Source organism: Homo sapiens, chromosome 5 (assembly GCF_000001405.40).
Source record: "Homo sapiens chromosome 5, GRCh38.p14 Primary Assembly".
Classification (NCBI taxonomy): domain Eukaryota; kingdom Metazoa; phylum Chordata; class Mammalia; order Primates; family Hominidae; genus Homo; species Homo sapiens.
Window position 1 is genome coordinate 171894038 of NC_000005.10, and position 20894 is coordinate 171914931.

The window sequence follows — 20894 nt, forward strand, 5'->3', positions numbered from 1 at the left end:
TAAAATGTTTCCTAGAAGTGGGTGATGTGGTTACAATCTTTAACTGTACCCAAAACCCTGAAGACGCAGCAGAGAAGACTACACAGAGGAGCCAGGGTCAGGTACATACTCAGCCTGTGATACATCAGTCCCCTGAGATGTCTGGACAGAGGACGACAACAACATTAAAGGCTGGGCTATACCCTCTATCCCCAACCCTCAAGTAAGAGCTAGGGAACAGGACCTCTCAAAAGCTCTGCTAGATACCAGACTTTCATTCTAAGTTGAACAGAAGTTAGCAAATGGCTTAGCTTCTCAACACTTATAAAAAGCCTACTTTTCTCAAATAAGTTTCTGCATTTTAAAAGAAATAGTTTGTCAACCAATTCTTGATGTGTCATTTTACAAAGTCCTCGCCTAGGCCTGTTTTAGAATCATTAGTTTCTTGAATCCCAAAGTGCAGCTTGCTTTGAAAAGCCACGAAAGAGACACGGAGCCAGATGAGGGAGTTGACTGCTTTGCTGCGCACCAATCCTGGGTAACTCCTCTTCTCAATTCCCAAGGCCACCGGCACAAGAAAGCAGCACTTCCTGTCAACTACGCCGGCCTAAAAAACTGCCCCCATGATGTCTGACAACCTTGACTCTTACTTGAATGCTTATAACCCAGGTCTTTTTTTTTTTTTTTTTTTCTAGAAAAACCAGACCTTTAAAACTGGCAGGTAGCCCACTGTGGTAGAAAATACCTAGGTCAAGTAGTAACTTTGGCAAAGGACTCGCTGCTGTAAAGATGGGAAGAGTAATATCTACTCCCTCAAAACCACTGTAAGGTTCAAATGAGATTATGTATATAAGTTCTCATTATGGTGCCAGCAAATGGTAGCAGTTATGTTCTTCTTCAGTTGTTGAAAACGTTAACCAAAAAAAAGTGGGCTGCAACAACAAATACATATATTCTCACAAAGTTGCCAGAAATTGTTGTCTCAGTCTAGGCTGATATTTAATGCTAATAAGCCTGAGCCTTCCCTAACCATTCCCAGGAAGAGGCTCAGCCTTCAAATGGAATCCAACTATTACCTTAATGCCAGCAGCAGGAACAGAGGTCATACACAGGTGCACCTCTTTATATGGATACCTATCATTTCACTTAGCCATCATGTGGTATGGCTACTGTAGAGGAATATTTCATGTTTTTGAGAACTTGTAAAATCCCCTTACCCTGCGCAAATTTTCAAAATACTGGGAAAGTAGCCATGATACACAGAGTATACAGCGGCATTTAAATTGGCAATAGAGTGAAAACAGATGTCTGAGTATGGAGGAATAACATTATTTTTAGAAGCCTAAACACAACTGGGTGGGTGGGCAAGTTTTGACATTTTCTGGTCAGGACAATGTTAATATCAGGTTTGCAAACCACAAAAAAGCTCCCCACTTTCCCTGAATAAAATGTGGCTTATTAAAAGGTGTGATACAACACACCATCATCTTCCCAGTGTCTGTCCAAGAAGAGCACTTCGGAGGCGTTAATGCAATGAATGAAGAGAGGAAGAAGGTAGATTACTTGAAGGAGTTTGTCACTACTCAAATGGCAAAAGAGAAAAATCCAAGTTCAGAATACCAGAACTCTAGGGCTGTTATAACAACTCCTATCTCTCTGTTAATAGACAATTGGGGGCACGCTAGAGTGAAAGCAGCATGGGCTTTGAAGTAAGAATCTCAGCTTTGACAATTCGAGGATTAAATTAAATCACTTGTAGCAAAGTATCCAGCAGTCAGCCCACCATTAATGGTAACAACAACAATAATAACAGCAACAACTAAGACTCTAGACAGCAAAGGAGAATATGGCTGCTTCTTTTAGGAGCGAGCCTCAGGTTTTCTAGGAATTCCTTCTCAATTCAGAGGCCCTCTAAACCCTCTCTATGTGTGGCAAGAACACCCAGGCGAGATGAGCCTTTGCAGAAAGCTTACAATACTTATTTATTCTCCCCAGACTCCATTTCTCACATCCTCATTTCCTGAATAACAGGAGTTGGCTGCACTAAGCCAGGTTCTCTATTTTCCCTTAAAATTAAGCCAATTTTCGGTGGGTCAATGTAGAAGCGCAGATTCAGAGATGAACATTTCCTTTCTCCTCATCAGAGCCAAATCTGGGAACGTACAGATTACAGGAGCTGGCACATAAGCCAAGCTGTCGAGGTGGAGGAAGAAGGAAAAAAAGAAAAAGGTGTTGTGAACTGGCAACCTTGCAAAGTCTAAGGGAAACAACACAAGAGACTCTGAAGCTATGTACAGGCAACTGGGGAGGGAGGGGGGACATAAACAGCCACTTGACATTCCAAGTGTCATTTATCTTTCTGCAATGTGCTTAAAACCCTACTACTTTCCCATAACTGGACTAAAACAGGGCCCACTAATCAGATCTTAACTCATACCCTTTTTTCAACGAACAGTCAAGGACACTGCGTATTCACACAATTAGAGAAAGAGGCAAAGGCCACCTTGAAATTCAGCAGGCATAAAACATGCCTCTTTCTCCCTCACTTCCTGAATTTTCCACTCTGAAAATGACAAACAACAACTCTCAGCCTGGATAGAGCTAGACAGACCTCAGTTAAAAGCCCATCCCATCTCTTCTACTTAACTATGTAGCAAGTCCTAAAACTTCTTTTAGTCTCAGTTTCCCCTTATTATAAAGATAATAACATGCACCTTGTTGTAAGAATAAAAAACAATCATCTATGTAAATCACCCAACGTGGTTTGATATATGCAAAAACTCGAAGTGGGTATTTGTAATTATTATAGTCTGCTTGTGAGGATTTCATACCAGTCATACGGACAGAGCCAAGCCCGTGAGAGGCTCTCATTTGATCCATGGATCACTGGAAGAACTCTCTACATAAAACTCTATATATTCTGTTTTATTCCAGACAGAATAAAACACACTCTCAAAATGGGAGTAAAAAAAAATCTATTTTGAGGTGGTAGCAGTGGTCTATTGTTAAAAACTCGTATTAAGGGTAGAAGGGTACATGGTTGATCACAGACTCTCAATTACCCACTAGCTGTGTGATCCTGACTAAACTGTTTAACCTTTTTAACCTTCTAAGGTTTCCTCAAATTTAAATAAGTACTTGGCCTACCTTTCAGGTTTTGTCCAAAATGTTAAAAGAGAAAATGCATTATAAAGTAGTTAACAAAGTATCTGGCATAAGTAAATGCTATTAGTGGTACATTACTTTTATGATTATTACTAGTAGCACATATATCAAAGTATAAACATCATCCCTTATATCAAGAGGTCTAGCCCACAAAAATCTGGAGAAGACTTTTGTGGCCAACCAGTGGGTTTTTCCAAACCACACTTTAAGAACCACTGGGTAGACCACCATGATGTAGAGGCTGTGTCGCACAGGGTTTTCCCACAGAGCTGTTTCCCCTCACACCTGCCTCCTCTCCTACTTTAAACTATCATTTCAGCCTGAAGAAGTGATGATGGCAGGTGGTGTCAGATACTGTCATGCCACAGAATACTGAATTCACATTGTCAATTCTAACAGCAGTCATGAGGATTCAATCAAACTATCTATGTTGCCACATCTTCAACCTGATCAGAGTTCTTCAAGGTTCCTGTTTGTTCATAATTAACTTTAAACATCATTCTTTTCAAAGAATTTTTTTGATAAAATTATTCAAAGAAGTCTGGAAATAACTTTGTAAATAGTTGCCCCTCATCAAGTGAAAAAAAAAAACAGAGGGTAATGTAGTTTATAAGATGTGTACATAAGAAATGCCTTAGTACAACTACCTGGGGTAAGAGACAGCCCCATCTCCCCTACAATACACACACATCAACCTAAGATTAAAGTTAACACCATGTCTCAGCCACTAGCACTGTAGGGGCAACTTATTCTAAGTTTGGAACTGCCAATGGTCAATTAATTCTTAAACTTTATGATTTATCTAGTGAAAGTTTTTATTTAACCTCCTTAAAGGGTTACTTTATAGATCATTTCAGAGAGCAGAATATTCAAGACAGTTTGGGCTTTAAATAATGATATTCCAGTCACATTCAGATTTACCATTAATGGAATGATTCCATTATTCACATCTGCCTGGAAGGGTGGTGGGGTCTGAAAAAGCACATGTTTCTCCGTTAATGAATTTTGGCACAATAACTTTTATGTCTATCACCTGGGGGAGAGGATTACTTCACATTTGGGAAACTGAGTATAACTTTATGGGTGATATTGCATTGCCTAGCAAAGGCTAAAGTTTTCTGCCAAGGAGGAAACAGTGAAGTAACCAAGACCTGCCAAGAACACATGTGAAAGAGTTAATGAGAAATGCCTGTGCATGTCTTTCCTGGTTCAAGGAAAAAGGCTAAAATAGTAAAACTGAACTAATTAGAACACATGAACGATATCAAACATCTCCAATGTTTCTCATCAAGTTTACAGAGTTTTACTGGTCTGGTGAAGTTACGCTCAAATCCAAAATGGTCCAGGAGCATAATTTGCCCTATAAAATCCACTTAACTATTGCTTAGAATGATATCTGAGTCATGTTTATGAAAAACTATGAGTAATGTACAGAGAAAACTTGAAATGTGCCTTCTCTAGTTCTCTAGAGATGGCTCAAAAATGTAAAACAATGCTTACTTAAAAAAACGGGGCCTTGGATTTTGGAAAATTTATCAGCTTAGAATAAAAAGATGATTTTAGATTAAGGTTTGAATTAACCGGCAGCCTTGCAGAAGCATTTCATGTTTTAGAAAAGTTAGATATTCTTTGCAAAAGACATTATTTTCTCTGCAGAATAGCTGCAGATTATATACAACATGACACATTTACTCCAAAAGCTCAACTTTTTAAAAAAAATTATTAGTTCTACGATTTTAGACCAAAAGAACACTCTAAGGCAACATAAAAAGTTGAGAACAAGAAACAAAGAGCCCATAAAACAGATAAATCATAAAGTTACCTCTATATCCTGGATAATCTTTGGGTATAATGACCTATAAAATGAATTTGGAGGGCCATCTGTGGGTCTGTTTTTAAACAGGTACTGATCCCTGGCAAATAAAAACAAACAGATGTTACATTTTTGCACATAAAAGGGTGAATTTTATCTAAACATGGTGCTGACAAAGATATATCTTTCATGTCTTTTAATTTGCATTGAGTTTTAACAGTTCAAAAGCAGGATTTCTGACAAATTTACATGTTACAGACAAGTTTAGCTCAATTCACAGCTCTCTAACAAAATCCTGATCGTGTTTTCTGAGTACTAATATGTAACAATCTAGCCTTTCATTCCATAGAGTTTAATAAAAAGCGCTAATGTAGCTTTGTGAAAAATCTAACTTAGTACACATCAAACTTCCTCCCGTAAGGAAAATACAGCCCTATATGCACCTCTGTCTGTAGCTCTCTCTCTTTGCTAACTGGGCCATACAGCATACAGCTAGCTATAAAGCTGCATCAGAGTTATGAGTTTTCTCTGAAAAATCCTATCACTGTTATTACTTCCTCAACCAGCAGTAATAACAAACAGCAAAATGGCACTATCTGACTTTCTCATATTTTTGTCATATCTATATTTTGGTAATGGTATCATCAACTAAGCAAAATGTGAAGGAAAAAACATAAATACATAGCTTTGAAACGCCAAATCCCATCAAACTATATAATACAGTTCATAAAGGAAATACACATTTCAGAGGGAGAAATTTTAACAGCTTTAACTTTTTCTTCCAACTTTTGACCACTCATTTTCCCCCCTTTTTAAAAATAGGCCAGCACATTTGCAAGTATAATTGCATTTTTGAGTAATCAAGCTGACTCTATGTCAATAAAATTTTTTCAAGGGAACAAGCAACCCAAGTACTTACCACCCTCTTCTTTCTGAAAGTCCTTTCCATAGGGGATCAGTGCGTACCATTCGTTCAATCAGCTTCTTCCAAAGCATTCCTTCTGAGATCACTCGCTGCCATTCTTTACATACCAGCTCTGCTGCACACAGAGACCTGGCATCCAGGTACGAAAGAATGTTTTCTGCTATGTGATCTAAGCCTTGCTCTACAAAACAGAAAAGGGAATGAAGGAACGGGAAGAGAGATAGAAAGGTACCAGCCATCATTTCCTTAAAGATAAGAGGAATAAAGAAATCCTGAACCAAGTAAAATATTTTAGTCATATCAAAAGTTCTACAGATACTCAAATCCATGAGTACATAAACATATACACTTCTTTTTGGTTCTGATTTTTTACGATAAAACAATTGATAGCAACTCTTCTCTGTGTGTAAAAGCTGACCTTGGACAGTTCTGTTATTTGTCAAATATTAAGATAAGACTTTTCATTTTCTTTTATATAACTCTCACAGCACTCCTATAGGGCAATGACGCCCCAAGTTTGACAGATGAAGCACAGAAAGGTAAAGAACTCAAGATTTTACACTCCCTTGGCTTTACTACTGGAACTCGGATTTCTTGCTTCAAAGTTTGTGTTCATTCCCATCTTACTCACTGTCTCTCATAACAAATCATATCCCCATTAATCCATACCCGGTGTGAATCCCTGGGAGATCAGAAGACAAAAAAGGCAAAACACCGACTCATCTTGAAAAACTTATGAAAAGTTAAATGGCAATCCAAGAATTAAAGTCGATTGTGCTTAAATGTATTTTTGTCAATCTTTTCATCTCCCTTTCGTGAGTATCCATTTTCTGTTCCTAAACAGATGGGACAATCCTCAAAAGCAATAGCCCCATGTCTACAAATCCTAGAATCTTAGAGGTCATTGGCTTCAACCTCCCACGATACAAGGATACTCTCAAAGAAAACCACTTTCAGCCTCTGCCTGACATTCACAATGGGAAGATGATCAACATGGCCACCACTGTTGCCACCTGTAAACTCCCATCCTGTGGCGGTAAGTATGTCTTCTACAGTTGCAAGAAATAAAGCTTCTCCCCAAGCTTATTCTGTGTAGGGACGAGAACACAGAACTTATCATCAGAAAATTCCCATTTCAAGTCCCAGGTTCACCACTTACTAGTTCTATGACATGAAACAAACACTGAAACATCCCTGTGCCTTGAATTTTTGTGCCCTAACATACAAAATGGTAATCACCAGTAACAACTATCCTTTCTTACACTGTCTGTCAGAATCAAATTCAACAGTTTTATGAAAACATTTTATAGACAAGCACTCTACAAGGTTAATATCTGTTCTCTTTTCTCAAAATAATTAGAAGTAGTATAATAGCACTAAACTTGGTTGTTGAAAGGCCAGATGTAGGTAAATTATTAAACTTTCAGAGTCAGTTTCCTCATCTGTATAAGATTACGATAATCTCTACTTGATTCTGAAAATATCAAAATGAGATGATGCATGAAAAATGCTTTACAAACTAAAGTTCCTTCAATTCTAAGAATGACTATTATTATACCATTGGTTATAATTTCCAGGTCCTTCATATACTAAAATTCTCTTACTCTGGACTAGATCAAAGACCCAAGCTATGGTCTAAGAATAAAGACTACACTGGGACCACTGTCCTTTCCTGCATGTCATTTACAGTTAATGTGGTCAAAGGCTGCACTGCCTTCATCTGATAGTCATATCACAGAAGACGCCTAAGATGGCAGTAAGTTAGAATAAAATCCCAGGCCTCTCCCCCAAAAACATCTATTGAAACAATTTCCCCGAATGCTCTATTTGCACAGCTAGTTGGAAAGGTGGGGGGCAGCTTTGTGCGGTTTATATTTATCCTTACTATAATTCACCTTCAAAGCTTTGTCTGACCCATCCATTTCAGTCTCTAGAATTCTGATTTTTGTCACACCCAGAAGAGTGGGTATTCCACACCAGACCTGCATGATGGGCTAAAGTACTAAGGCAAACATGTTAAACCATGTTGGCAAACACGTTAAACGGGTCAGAACCAAGGACAGCACCCATGACACTAGCTATTAGTACCTATTATTATAATATTTCCCTCCAAGCTAGCACTGATGCCGCATCAATATGCCCAGGGCACCCACACTGCGACATCCGGTCTGTAGTCATCTATATGTGCCATTGCCCAGTCCATATCTCTCTATTCTGTCCTCGGAGGTATTTGGAAAAATCAGCAGATGATGATATTACCATCTATTTACATCATTCTTCAGACCTACCTACTAGCCTGGTAACTTTATCCAAAAAGGAAATAAGGTGAGGAGGGTATGGCTGCTTTCATGTTCCCGTGCTGGGGTTTACTACATAAAGTTGTATTGCAATTTTTCACTTACATGTTGACACTAGCTGCTTGGTAACCCTTTTAAACATATCTAGTTCATGTTCATTATAGAAAATTTATAAAGTGTAGATGAGCAAAAATTTTTAAATCCCTAAACCCCATTTCCCAGAGAAGGGAACCACTTTTCACATTCTGTATACATCCTTCTAGGTTTACACAACCATACACAATCTTTTCAGAGGCTGATTAGCCTTTGAAACTCATCTAAGAATTCTGCTAAAGCACAACATCAAATTTAATAGCTAAATCCCCCAAAAACACCTTCTCCAGTTCTTAAAACCAGGAAGTCTGCTCATCAATCATCTCTGGTGCTATCATGCAAGACTACCATGTGCAACTGTACAAGCTGTACAGGGCACAATTGTACCCAATAGTTCTGCATACTGATTTTCAATTGCTTCACAATGTTCTACAATTTGAAAAATCACAACCACAGGTTTTGCCACTATCCAGGCATACAATGTATTTAGGCCTACTTGTCTATAGGAGCTATGTGATTGCTAAATATCTTCACATCTTTCTCAAACACAACTTTGCTAACCTTTGTTTTAAAGCCATTATTCTTGGGTTGGGGGGATGGTGGGATTAGGTTAATGGGAGTGAAAATATGTTGTTTCTTTCTATTATCACTATACTATCTATTCTAAGCACACTATCCCTTCATCCTTTATAATCTGGCTCCAAATAGTTAATTATTTTGTTTTCAACTCTTTCAATTTACTTCAACATTTTGGACAATTTAACATTATTTGGAGTTTGGTCTTCTTGGTACCATTCTCAAAGGTTTCACAGGGACTCACTCTATCACCCAAGTTGGAGTACAGTGGCACAATCATGGCTCACTGCCACCTCAAACTCCTGGGTTCAAGCAATCCTCCCACCTCAACCTCCCAAGTAACTAGGACTACAGGCACATGCCTCCACACCCAGCTAATTTTTTTTTATCATTTGTAGAGATGAGGTCTCACTATATTGCCCGGGGTGGTCTCCAACTCCTGGGCTCAAGCAATCCTCCTGCCTTGGTCTTGAAAGTGCTGGGATTACAGGCGTGAGCCACTGCGCCTGGCTGCCTTTCTTCCATCTTCTATGTTTACTTAAAATCAGGGAAATCCAAGGATAATCACGTGGGGTTCTGCTTGTGCCTCTCCATCACTAGGATTGACAAATTATTCATCAGAATTTCAAACTGCAGAATCCGTCAGCCTTCTTTTATCACATTTTTGTTCAGTCTCTAGCCGTGGACTAACAGACTTAGCTCTTTCAATCTTTCTAACGCTGGGGTACTTATCTATCTTCCTTTTCTGATTTCTACACTTAATATTAGAACATAGCTAATTACAGCATCTCACTCTGTTGCCCAGGCTGGAGTACAGTGACATGATCATGGCTCACTACAGCCTTGACCTTCCAGAATCAAGTGATCCTCCTGCCTCAGCCTCCCTAGTAGCTGAGACTACAAGTATGCACTACCATGCCAGGCTAATTTTTTTTAAAAAAAATTTTAGTAGAGACAGGATCTCACTATGTTGCCCAGGCTGAGAACATAGCCACTTTTAAAGTAATGTAAACTTCACATCATTAACCCAAATCCTCCTAACTGGTTATAAACACATCTCAAACTAATTCCTCTCTAGAACCCTCTGCTCTCTGAAAGGTGAAACAAATGGCAAGACAAGGATGCATTAGGGGCTGCATGGTGGCTCACACCTGTAATCCTAGAACTTTGGGAGGCCAAGATGGGCAGATCGCTTGAGTCCAGGAGTTTGAGACCAGCCTGGACAGCATGGCAAAACTCCATCTCTACTAAATATACAAAAATTAGCCATGGTGGCACACGCCTGTAATCCCAGCTACTTGGCAGGATGAGGCGCGCGAGAACCACTTGAACCTAGGAGGTGGCGGTTGCAGTAAGTGGAGATCATGCCACTGCACTCTAGCCTGGGTTACAGTGCAAGACTCTGTCTTTTTTTAAAAAAAATAAAAAATAAAAAGAATGCATTAGATACTCGCCTTTTCAAACCTCAAAGGCTGCAACATCCCCATCATCTGTGACGGGAAAGCAGCACCCAAACCTTCAACCTATCTGGGTGGTCTATAAGCCTGTGTGGTTGTATCTGACTCAACTCAGGGTTACTGATTTTCAAAACAACAGCAAAAAGAAAAGATCCCCCCAATCTTCTCCTGACCTACAAAATCAGAATCTCTAGACGGTAAGGCCCAGGAATCTGGGTGTGGTTTTTTTGTTGTTGTTGTTGTTTTTGGAAACAGATTCTCACTCTGTCGCCAGTATGGAGTGCAGTGGTGGGATCTCAGCTCACTGCAACCTCCACCTCCTGGGTTCAAGCGATTCTCCTGCCTCAGCCTCCCGAGTAGCTGGGACTACAGGCGCACACCACCATGCCCAGGTAATTTTTGTATTTTTAGTACAGATGGGGTTTCACCATGTTGGCCAGGATGGTCTTGATCTCTTGACCTCATGATCCACCCAACTCGGCCTCCCAAAGTGCTGGGATTACAGGTGTGAGCCACCGTGCCCAGCCAGGAATCTGTATTTTTAAGAAGTGCCACTAGATAATGCTGAAGTATTAGGAACTATTGGTTTATAGCAATGATATCCCTTTTAGTCCTCTTTGATTCCCCCATCAATTGCTCACAACTAGGCTATCATGAGTTTTTACAGAAATAAATCCCTTACTAATACTTATTTCTTCCTCTTTCAAATGCCATCAGTCCAATTAAGCAACATCTCAGTGATATCTATGAGATTTGACCTATTTCCTTTGTCTGATACTTTAAATGCATTTCCTCCTTCTATGAGGCAGCATGTTTTAGTCTTGTGAAAAACACACTGCCTGAAAGTCAGAAAAACTAGGTTGCATCTCAGTTCTGTCAACTGCTAGTTGTGTGACCTTAAGCAGATCAGTTTTCCTTTTAGGATCTCAGTCTTCCATAATATCAGAATGATATTAAATGTCTGAAATAAATTACATCATATAATCTTCACAATAACCTTCTGAGATAGGTACTCTACATACCCTCATTTTACATAGAGGGAACCTCCCAGTCTTGCTGCGAAAGTTTAAAAAACAGCATACGTAAAGAGCTAGGTAAATAAGAAGTTCACTCAAGAAATATCAGTCTTTGTTCTACTCTCCCCCAAATCCTCTCAGCAGATATCAATGGACAAGGCCGATACACAATATTCTTCTTGTTACCTTCTGCAGAAAAAATACTACGCATCTCCTCCAGCAAAAAGCTAACCCCCCCCCCTTTATTTTCTTGGTATAAGTCTCATGGCCCCTTAAATGTTTTGAGAAGAACAGGAATCACACAATCTCTATTCAGGTACCTTAGAGTGGCCACCCTCAGGAGCCATGCAGAGCATGTAACTTTCTGGTTTCAAGCCTATTCAGGACAAAGAGGTTACTGAATAAGGTGGTCCATTTGCCTGGGCTAAAAAGTGCTTTGAGGTGTTAAAACTAAGCATTTTCTGAAGTACCTATGTCTGGCTCTCATTACTCTATCATGCTGAGACTCCCCCATCTCTCACCACCACCCCCTCTTCCTAAGGCAACAAGAGGACACATTACAGCCTCAGAAAATTGAGGCCATAATACTTCGCACACAGTGCTGAAGACATGCTGCTGTTGTTAATTACAGGAACCAGATGAAAGTCTGGAAAAACTTCAATAATAAATTAAAACAATTAAAAGGCACAAATTTCAAAGCTCAATATGTAAATAACACTGTATCAAAACTCAAATGTCAATTAAATGCCCTTGACTACAACCAGTTTTAACACAGCTGCTTAGATCATACAATTACAGAAACTTTTATTATTTTAGAAATGCATTTCAAAGAGCAGCTGCAAAGAAACTTCCTTTCCCACCCACCCGTGTTATCCCTTCCCCCTCCCTAGTCACAAATCTAGTTGTAAAATCTGAAGTTCTAAACGTTTTAAAAGAAAACAATGCAATTGCTAACAGCAACAGTCCCTCAACGGATGCCTTTCACTTGGAAAACACCAACCTAAGGTTTCAGACAGAAATGAAGTGAAAAGAAGCTCAGGTCACAAAGTCTAACATCTTTTTTCCATAAAACACCCAGGAAACAAAACAACAAAGTGACAGACACCTATATGATGTCAGAATGAATCAATTCGGGAATCAGTGGGTGAATAATTAAAATTTCCTACCAATAAATCTTACTACCTCTGGAGAAGCAGGTGTTTCCTGCCTCTCTGGGCTTTTTCTTAAGCTGCCATCCTCAGAGTACCCAATAGATGCCAGGCATATTATAACATATTATCATTAATCCTCACACAATACCCATAAAGTATTACTATTATTCCCACACAGAGGAGGAAACTGAGGCTCCAGAAAGTGGGACCACACAGCTGTAAAGTGTAAGGGCTAGGATTCAAACCAAGGGCCTGTGTGACTCCAGCACCCATGCTTTTTCCTGTCACGCTGCTCTGGCCGTGTACCCATCCTAAAGCCTTATCTACGCTCTGTTTCTTCCACATCTCCTGGGACTTTTAATCTAATCTCTGTCACATTTATGGTCCATAATGGCTTATCATCCTTTCTTGGGGATAAGACAATTGAATAAACCAGGGCCAGACAGCCAAGTGTTTCAAAACTCTTAATTGCTTAGACACCTCAACAAACCGATCACCAATGCTTATCATCCTTTTTGAAGTACAATCTGTCCCTACTTTACATGGTATGAATTTTCCCATTAACAACAGTTCTTACAAACCGCAAACTCAGCCTGCAGAAATTGACATTGCAGACTAAACATTTACTATGATTTTTAGAAAGGCATATCATAATTATCACTTTTTCCACTGAGCCAAAAGGAGCCAGAGACCACAAACATTTTCCATTTTCCCTATACTGACAGGTATGATATTCACAGCAAGCATTTAAAAGCTATAATTATAATTTTTACAGAATTAATGGTTTTCACAATCAAATGAAGTCGTAAGTTGACTGTCAATTTCAATAGTGTAAAAACCTCAAACTCAAGATGATGTACAGTAAAAATGAAACACCAAACTAGTATAATGATTCATAAGTTGCTCCACACATTATTAAATCTAAGTATGAACATGGACACAGACCTGTTTCTCCTGTGATGCTCTTAAAGCAGAGTCTGTGTTAAGGAACTAATGCCATGTTTAATCTAGGTCTACTAGATACTAACTAACACAATCAACTTGGCCAGCTCGTCCTCAGCTATTAGATTCATATGTATGATATACACTGACATATGTATATATGTTCAGATCAAGTCCTGTTAAAACAAATAGCATTTTAACTAAAGTATTTCCATGTCCCAGCCAATGGTCCATTCATTTCATGTAATATTCAATACCACAAAATTCCACTTTAACAGAGATATGGACAATGCCTTAACATTCGCTGTAATGAAAACTGAATTGTATGCAATTATACTAACCATATTTATATACATAACACATGTTCATCTGTTCTGCTTCTTCTCCAAGGCTGTATACTCCCTAAGAGATGGGGTTGCCTCTGAACTATACTCTGAAAAATCAAGAGAACTTCAACAGTGCCACCTTGTGGCTACTCTGCAAATACAAGGTGAGTTCCCTGGCCCTCTAAAACGTTTGAGAAGCAAATTACAGGGAAGAAAATAAAACCAAAACGGTGGAAAACAAACAATAAATTGAATTGCTTGAGAAAAATGAAGGCATCCTCTCATCAGTTAAAATCACTTATGAGGGACAAATACAATCACCAACTTAAAAAAAGACTCTGTCTTTTCTTGGTGTGAGATGCAGTCTGATTCTATAGGTTTCTGGGTTTGAGTTCTGCACATACAGAGAAGCTGCATCATATGTACATGCCTCATCTTACTTCCATTCACCTGTAATTCTCTCTCACGCAATCAAAAGCATGTCTCCATCTCCCCCTCCCTGGATCCCTCCCTCATAATTAAAAGTGAGAATTATTGAACTGAGTTGTAATCCTTACATTCAGTACTTGGGGCCAATTTAAGGAATTTTCCTTAGCCGTTGTACTAATTTTTGAACCAACCCCTACCATCATTCACATCACCACCACTATAATCAAGATGTGTGATTCTGGGCATCTCACCCAATTAACTTCTCCTTGGCTTCCTAATCTACACAATGAAAAACAGGACTAAGTGATGGCTAAGATCCCCTTCAGCAATTAAATAGTATGATTCTAGAAAGAGAGGATTTACGTTTTGCTTTCCTAGAGATTCTAATGGAAGAAATGAGCAAGTCATGCTAGATTTCAGCATAAAAAGAACGGCAGTGTCAAATTTTTCTAAGCTAACTCTCAAATATCCTTAAAACTCCCATTGTAGAAGGTAAACTTACACGTTTTGGAAGAGAGATTAGAAATCAGAAGCTGGTTTGTCAATTTGCAGCCTCAGGTTTCAGGCCTGAGGCCTGAGCCTGGGTCTTGTTTGCTGTGGAAGTACTTAGAACATGAGTCTTGTTTGCTGTGGAAGTACTTAGAACACGGAGTCCTGATGTTCTATAAATCACAGATAGGCTAAGGGAGGAGCTACTCTTTAAGAAGCTATCCTGTAGCTCTGACAAGGGCTAGGGTTGTGGTAATGGTACTGGCTCATCCCTGGCTACTTCTAGGCTTATTTTGACATGGCAATTTTAACCACACACTACACTGGCCACATCAGAGGAAAACATTCTGGCCAGCATTCTCTATAGGAGTGAAATCTCTATATCTTACCTAGCCAAATTTAAATTGAGAATTTTTTAAAAAACAATATAGAAACAGAAAAAAATTCATGATTAATCATATTCAAAGGGGAGTTCAGCACAGTGGTGCATGCCTGTAGTACCAGCTACTCAGGAGGCTGAGGTAGGAGTATCACTTGAGCCCAGGAGCTCAAGGCCAGCCTGGCCCACACAGCAAGATGCCACCTCGTTGAGAAAAACAAAAAGGTGGTACAGAACACAGCAAATTTTAAATTATTTTTTAAAAATCAAAGGGAAATAAATAGGTGGAGCACAGTGAAACCATTCTGTAGGAGACTCTTAAGGCAGATATATGTCATTAGACATTTGACCAAACCCACAAAATGAATAACAGCAAGAGTAAACCCTAATGTAACCTATGAATTTGGGGTAATAATGATGTGTCAGCTTAGGTTCATGAATTGTAACAAATGTACTGCTCTGCTGTGCAATGCTGATAGTGGGGCAGGCTGAGGGAACGGGTTATGTGAATATGGGAATTCTCTGCATTTTCCCTTCAATTTTGATCTGAACCTCAAACTGCTCTAAAAATATAAAGTCTACTTTTAAAAATCAAAGTAAATTTAACCAGATGTGTGTGTGTGTGTGTGTGTGCACGTGCGCGCGTGCATGTACACACCTATGTGTGTATGAGACATATATGGGAAGACAGTAGTGAGGGAGAGGATGCAGAAACAGCTTTTGAGAAATATAATAAAGACATGCTACCAGTTTTCCCAATGTATTTTTGCCATTCCTTAAGTGCCACTTCAGATACAAATGAATGCCCTAAACTTTTGGGACACTTCCCAAACATACAAACTATGTTTGAAGGGAAAAGAGTACCAGTTTTTTTAAAATTACATACAAAGGCAAAGTGCAGACTCTAAACTACATCAAAATAAAAAGCATATCATTAACTCATTCAACAGACCAAATGAAGCAACAGTTATGACCAATAATGAACACTTTTTTTTTTTTTTTTTTTTTGAGACAGAGTCTCGCTCTTGTTACCCAGGCTGGAGTGCAGTGGTATGATCTCGGCTCACTGCAACCTCCACCTCCTGGGTTCAAGCTATCCTCCCACCTCACCCTCCTGAGTAGCTGGGATTACAGACATCTGCCACCACCCCCGGCTAATTTTTGTACTTTTAGTAAAGACAGGGTTTCACCATGTTGGCCAGGCTGGTATCAAACTTCTGACCTCAAGTGATCCACCTGCCTTAGCCTCCCAAAGTGCTGGGATTACAGCTGTTAAGCTACTGCGCCTGGCCAGGAATGAACATTATTAAAGATACTGCCTATATTTCCTAGATAGATACTAAATTATAATTCCTCGAGTTCCATATATTAAAGTATGCGTCCCAAAGAAATGCTGCCTCACACAGTACTCATTCAATCATTTCATAAATATCCACCTAGGTCCTTGGGCCGGGCATTCTTCAACTGCTCAGCTTTTGAAAAGACAAGTACAGTTACCTGGTAAAGCGGTAATAAAGTCCCGCTGCAACATGGGCTTCAGGTAAGAGTTAATATGTCCATGCTGATAATGACACATTCGTGAAATAAGATGTTCCACAAATTCCACTTGATCTGATTCAGACCACTGGTCAAAATATTTAATACACAAGTCTTTTTCTTTTTGATAGTTTCCTTCTGATGGCCTCTTTCTGGAGACGATCACAGATGATGTTCCATTACTTATCTATTTTAGAAAAACAAAAAAAAAATTAGTTTAACAAGGAAAGAAACCTAATTAATATTTCATTAGAAATATTTTTCACCCTGTGTATTTAATCTTAAAATGCCACTTTTACCCTAAAGCCAAACTCATTCCTTTACTAATTCATTCAGGAATTAAAAATGTATTCAGGGTCTGTGTCCTCAAATTAGTCACTACAGGAAATGCCAAAATTGTAGCTATTTCTAAAAGGCACCTTAAATTATCATTTTCCAATGCTTACTACAAAATGATGCTCCAAAGGTATATACTGGGTATCTCTATACACGGGATATATATGAATTATCATCTCCAAAGATAGCTAATGCTGGAGATAACCATCTTAGAGAAACTGCTCAACTTGGCAAAGTGGCAACTGATTATTAACAGTTTGTTTTACTTCCTCAAAGTTCAAAGTTAATGCTACATACATTTATGCTAATGGTTCTCAAACTTGAGCTAGCATCAGAATAACAGGAGGGATTGTTAAACACACAGATTGCTGGGTCCCACCCTAGAGGTTTCGGTTTTATTAGTCTGGAGTGGAGCCCATGAATTTCTATTTCTAACAAGTTTCCCAGCAATGCTGATGCCACCCGTCCAGAGACTACACTTTAGGGACCACATGTTGAGAACCACAGGTCTATATAACAAAGATAAGCTGTGTTGTGTTGAAACCTGAAAGCAATTCAATCCAAAAAGCTTCATTTTACCCAACAGTTTCAATCTCCTCCATACTTTCCCAGGGCTACTAATCTGGCAGAACGGTTTAGACTTTCCCATCCTTCTTTTGATTACCTTCTCAGAAAGTGACCCAAGGTAAATAAACCATGTATACCTGAAAAGCTCTGCATCTTACGTAGGTGGTTTATGGACAACTCACAGACTCTTATACTAACAATGCATTTCTCATCAAATCTTCCTACAAGTCCTTACATAAAATCAGTACATATTTTTTAAAACTGAAACTACATACACTGCATCTGGACAGTAACATTAAAAATAATCTCAATCACTAGACTCAAACCACAACTACTATGAAGTGCAGTAACCTCCCTGTCTAAAAACAAAATAACCTCAATACTTTTGTCAAACATTTGTCAAGCTATCTATTGACCACTATTCTGACAGCCTCCTCATACATAATACCAGAAAAAATAACACAAAAGATAATTCTAAGAACTGAAGAGCTGAATTACAAATACCTATTAATTCCGTTAGGAACTTATCTCAGGAGTCTTACATGGAATGAACCAAGAGCTTTCACTATCAGTATGTCCCCTAACTTAAAGTGGACTAAATCCATCCCAGAGAAAACATCCTTTATAAATATCCAAAGGAGTCTTCAGTTTTCCTTCACACAAAATCTTGTCTGAAGTTCTTATGTCCATATTTAGAGGTATGAGATGGGAAGGCATCTATCTTCCACTCAATTTATCCTAGCGCCCCACTGTCGAGGAATGTTTCTTCCCTTGTATCTTGGGTGAGGAAAAGCTCACTGACACCAGGTACCACCAGGGGGAAGCATTGAACAAGGATTTTGAAATTTTGCTTTTACTAAGACATTTGAGTCTTAACAGATCCAAAAAATAAGAGTTCAAAACAGAGATGAAAAGTCTTTGCTGTGATGAATATTGGCAAGAATAAGGGGCATCTAAGTTGCTTTAAGCATAAGAATGTCCACCACAATATAACAAGGAAAAGTTAGAAATAACTGCCCAATTACAGGCAACTATTTAAAACAAATTCTAACTCATCACCATTAAGAGCTATAATGTAAGCCACTAAAACTAGCATATAAAGTAAGATTTTGGCCAGGCATGGTGGCTCATGCCTGTAATCCCAGCACTTTGGGAGGCCAAGTTGGCTGGATCACTTAAGGTCAGGAGTTCGAGACCACTCTGGCCAACATGGTGAAACCCTGTCTCTACTAAAAATACAAAAAGAATTAGCCAGGCATAGTGGTGGGCGCCTGTAATCCCAGCTACTCAGGAGGCTGAGGCAGGAGAAATGCTTGAACCTGGGAGGCGGAGGGTGCAGTGAGCTGAGATTGCACCACTGCACTCCAGCCTGGGGTGCACAGCAAGACTGCGTCAAAAAAAAAAAAAAGTAATATTTTTATAGCAACAGAACATGCTTATGAAATAATATCAAGAAACAAAAGGCAAGATCCAGGATTTTATAAAACATTATGATCACAGTAATTCATGACAAGGGGAACACACCATGACAGAGTAAAGGATATACATCAAAATCTCAAAAGTGCCTTATCTTAAGAAAAAAAACTATGTATGCTTTCCTTCCCCCTTTATTTCTATATTTGATTCCAAATAACTTGCCAAAATAATGGTTCATAACAGGTTAAATATAATGATAACAACTTGCATTTGTGTACTGCTTTATAATTTACAAAGTACTTTCACAGCCATTAATTCATTTGATAAACAAAAGTGTTATTTTATTTACAGATAAGTTCCTAATCATCTGGCCTCCCTAGAGTGTTTGTATAACTATTAACTAGTTGACTGAAAGATAAATGAAAGAAAAACTGAAAGCTAAAGTGTGAAGAACCACTGCCAATTGAAAAATCATAGTAAATGAAGAGCATCCCACTGCAAAATAATAAACGTGGAGGGTACAAAACTCAGTCTGTACACAGTGTTAAGAAGAAAATAACAGCATGTGCACTATTCTATAGCACATTTTCAATATGCTATTTCCAGCCACGTGCTCAGCCCAGCAAGCTCTTCCTAGCATTGTTTTTCTTTGCTTCATTTCCTCTTAAATGTGTTGGATGCACTTTGTTCCTGCTAACTAATCTATCTTTTCAGTTTCAAATCAAATGAACCCAGAGAATTTATTTTTACATTATTATCTTCAGATTTAGATTTGTTTTGCTTTTAATCCTGTCTTCATGAAGGGGAAAGCCATGTGTACCAGCATGGTTGATAAACCACCAAATCGTGAAACTTTGCTTGCTCCCCAAACCCCCAACCACACACACATACACACACACACACACACACACACACACACACACACACACACACACACACACACACAACCTGGGAAATTGGGAAGAAAACTGGCAAACCTTAAACTAGAGCCAAGGGAGAAGGAGACAAGCTTAAAAGGAAAAGGCAAACCAATGGAAATGGGAGAGAAGAGTAAAGGTTGAGAGCAAAAGGAGAAAAGGTCATCCATGTATACACTGGTGTGTGGCATGGTGCCATTCTGGTGACAAAGGATGCCATCACTGTCCATCTTTGGCTTAGGCAGAGGCCACAGACAGAACATTTTAGGCTACAGCCAACTTCAGAATCTTTGTGGAAACTCCAAAATTATTTAGCATATTTGTAATGACAATTCCCTATGGAATGAAGATAAATTAGGGTGGATTCTGAAACTAGCAAAACTGCACAAAAGAAAACAAAATGCTTGGCTCTTGATTCCACTGAGGACATTAACTGAGGGAGCATCCTATCTACAGTAAGTCAGTTGCTATCTAATCTGTGCGCCGTCATTCCTACCTGCCAAAGAGTATTTTTCTTTGGGGACTCATCTTCATTTTGATCTTCCATAACTGAAGTGTTCTAGGGGGGGAAAAACAGGTTATTTGAATTATACCAAGTTTTGCAAATCCTAAATAACTACAATAAATAATTTTGAAAACCCAAACTAGAGTGTACCAATACAAACCCAAGAACTATTTGGCTTTGTGGCTAACACATGCCATTTTGGGTCAAGGGAGATGTGCTCATCTTTCATAAATCGATAAAGTTAGTGGTTAGACAAAAGCAAGCATAAAGTCATTATTTACAAAGGTTGGGTGTGCTTAGAAAAAAAGGCTAAATTGTGGGAGTAAGGCTGAGGCTCAACCTCCGTCATCACTGTTTTTGTACTTGTGACAAGAAATTCCAAAGACCCATGAGGTTTCCGATGATTGCACAAAACATTTACTAGAAGGTCTGCTATTCAGTAATGCACCCCAAGGAATCCGCAATTAGAAGTAGCAAAGCCTTGGAAGCCCCCCTGCCTTCGTCTTTCCTCCCCTGATAGCCTTGTTTTTCTGGAATGGCTTTGCAATCTCTGCTAGCAAGCATAGCGGGTGCCCCAACC

At 39.0% G+C, this 20894-nt stretch overlaps 1 protein-coding gene across 13 annotated transcripts in view; it reads right to left on the minus strand.

The window, feature by feature from the left end:
- FBXW11 (F-box and WD repeat domain containing 11) overlaps window positions 1-20894 on the minus strand; it is a 145090-nt gene that overhangs the window by 32489 nt on the left and 91707 nt on the right. For 7 of the 13 annotated variants that reach the window (NM_033644.3, NM_001378974.1, NM_001378977.1 and 4 more), the window contains 4 exons: window positions 20306-20368; window positions 16535-16760; window positions 5877-6063; window positions 4967-5057 (listed from right to left, as the gene is read on the minus strand). In NM_033644.3, the coding sequence (NP_387448.2) occupies window positions 4967-5057; window positions 5877-6063; window positions 16535-16760; window positions 20306-20368 (567 nt within the window). The remainder of the gene's footprint in view (window positions 1-4966; window positions 5058-5876; window positions 6064-16534; window positions 16761-20305; window positions 20369-20894) is intronic. The other 6 variants (NM_001378980.1, NM_033645.3, NM_012300.3 and 3 more) reach the window with 2 other exon arrangements.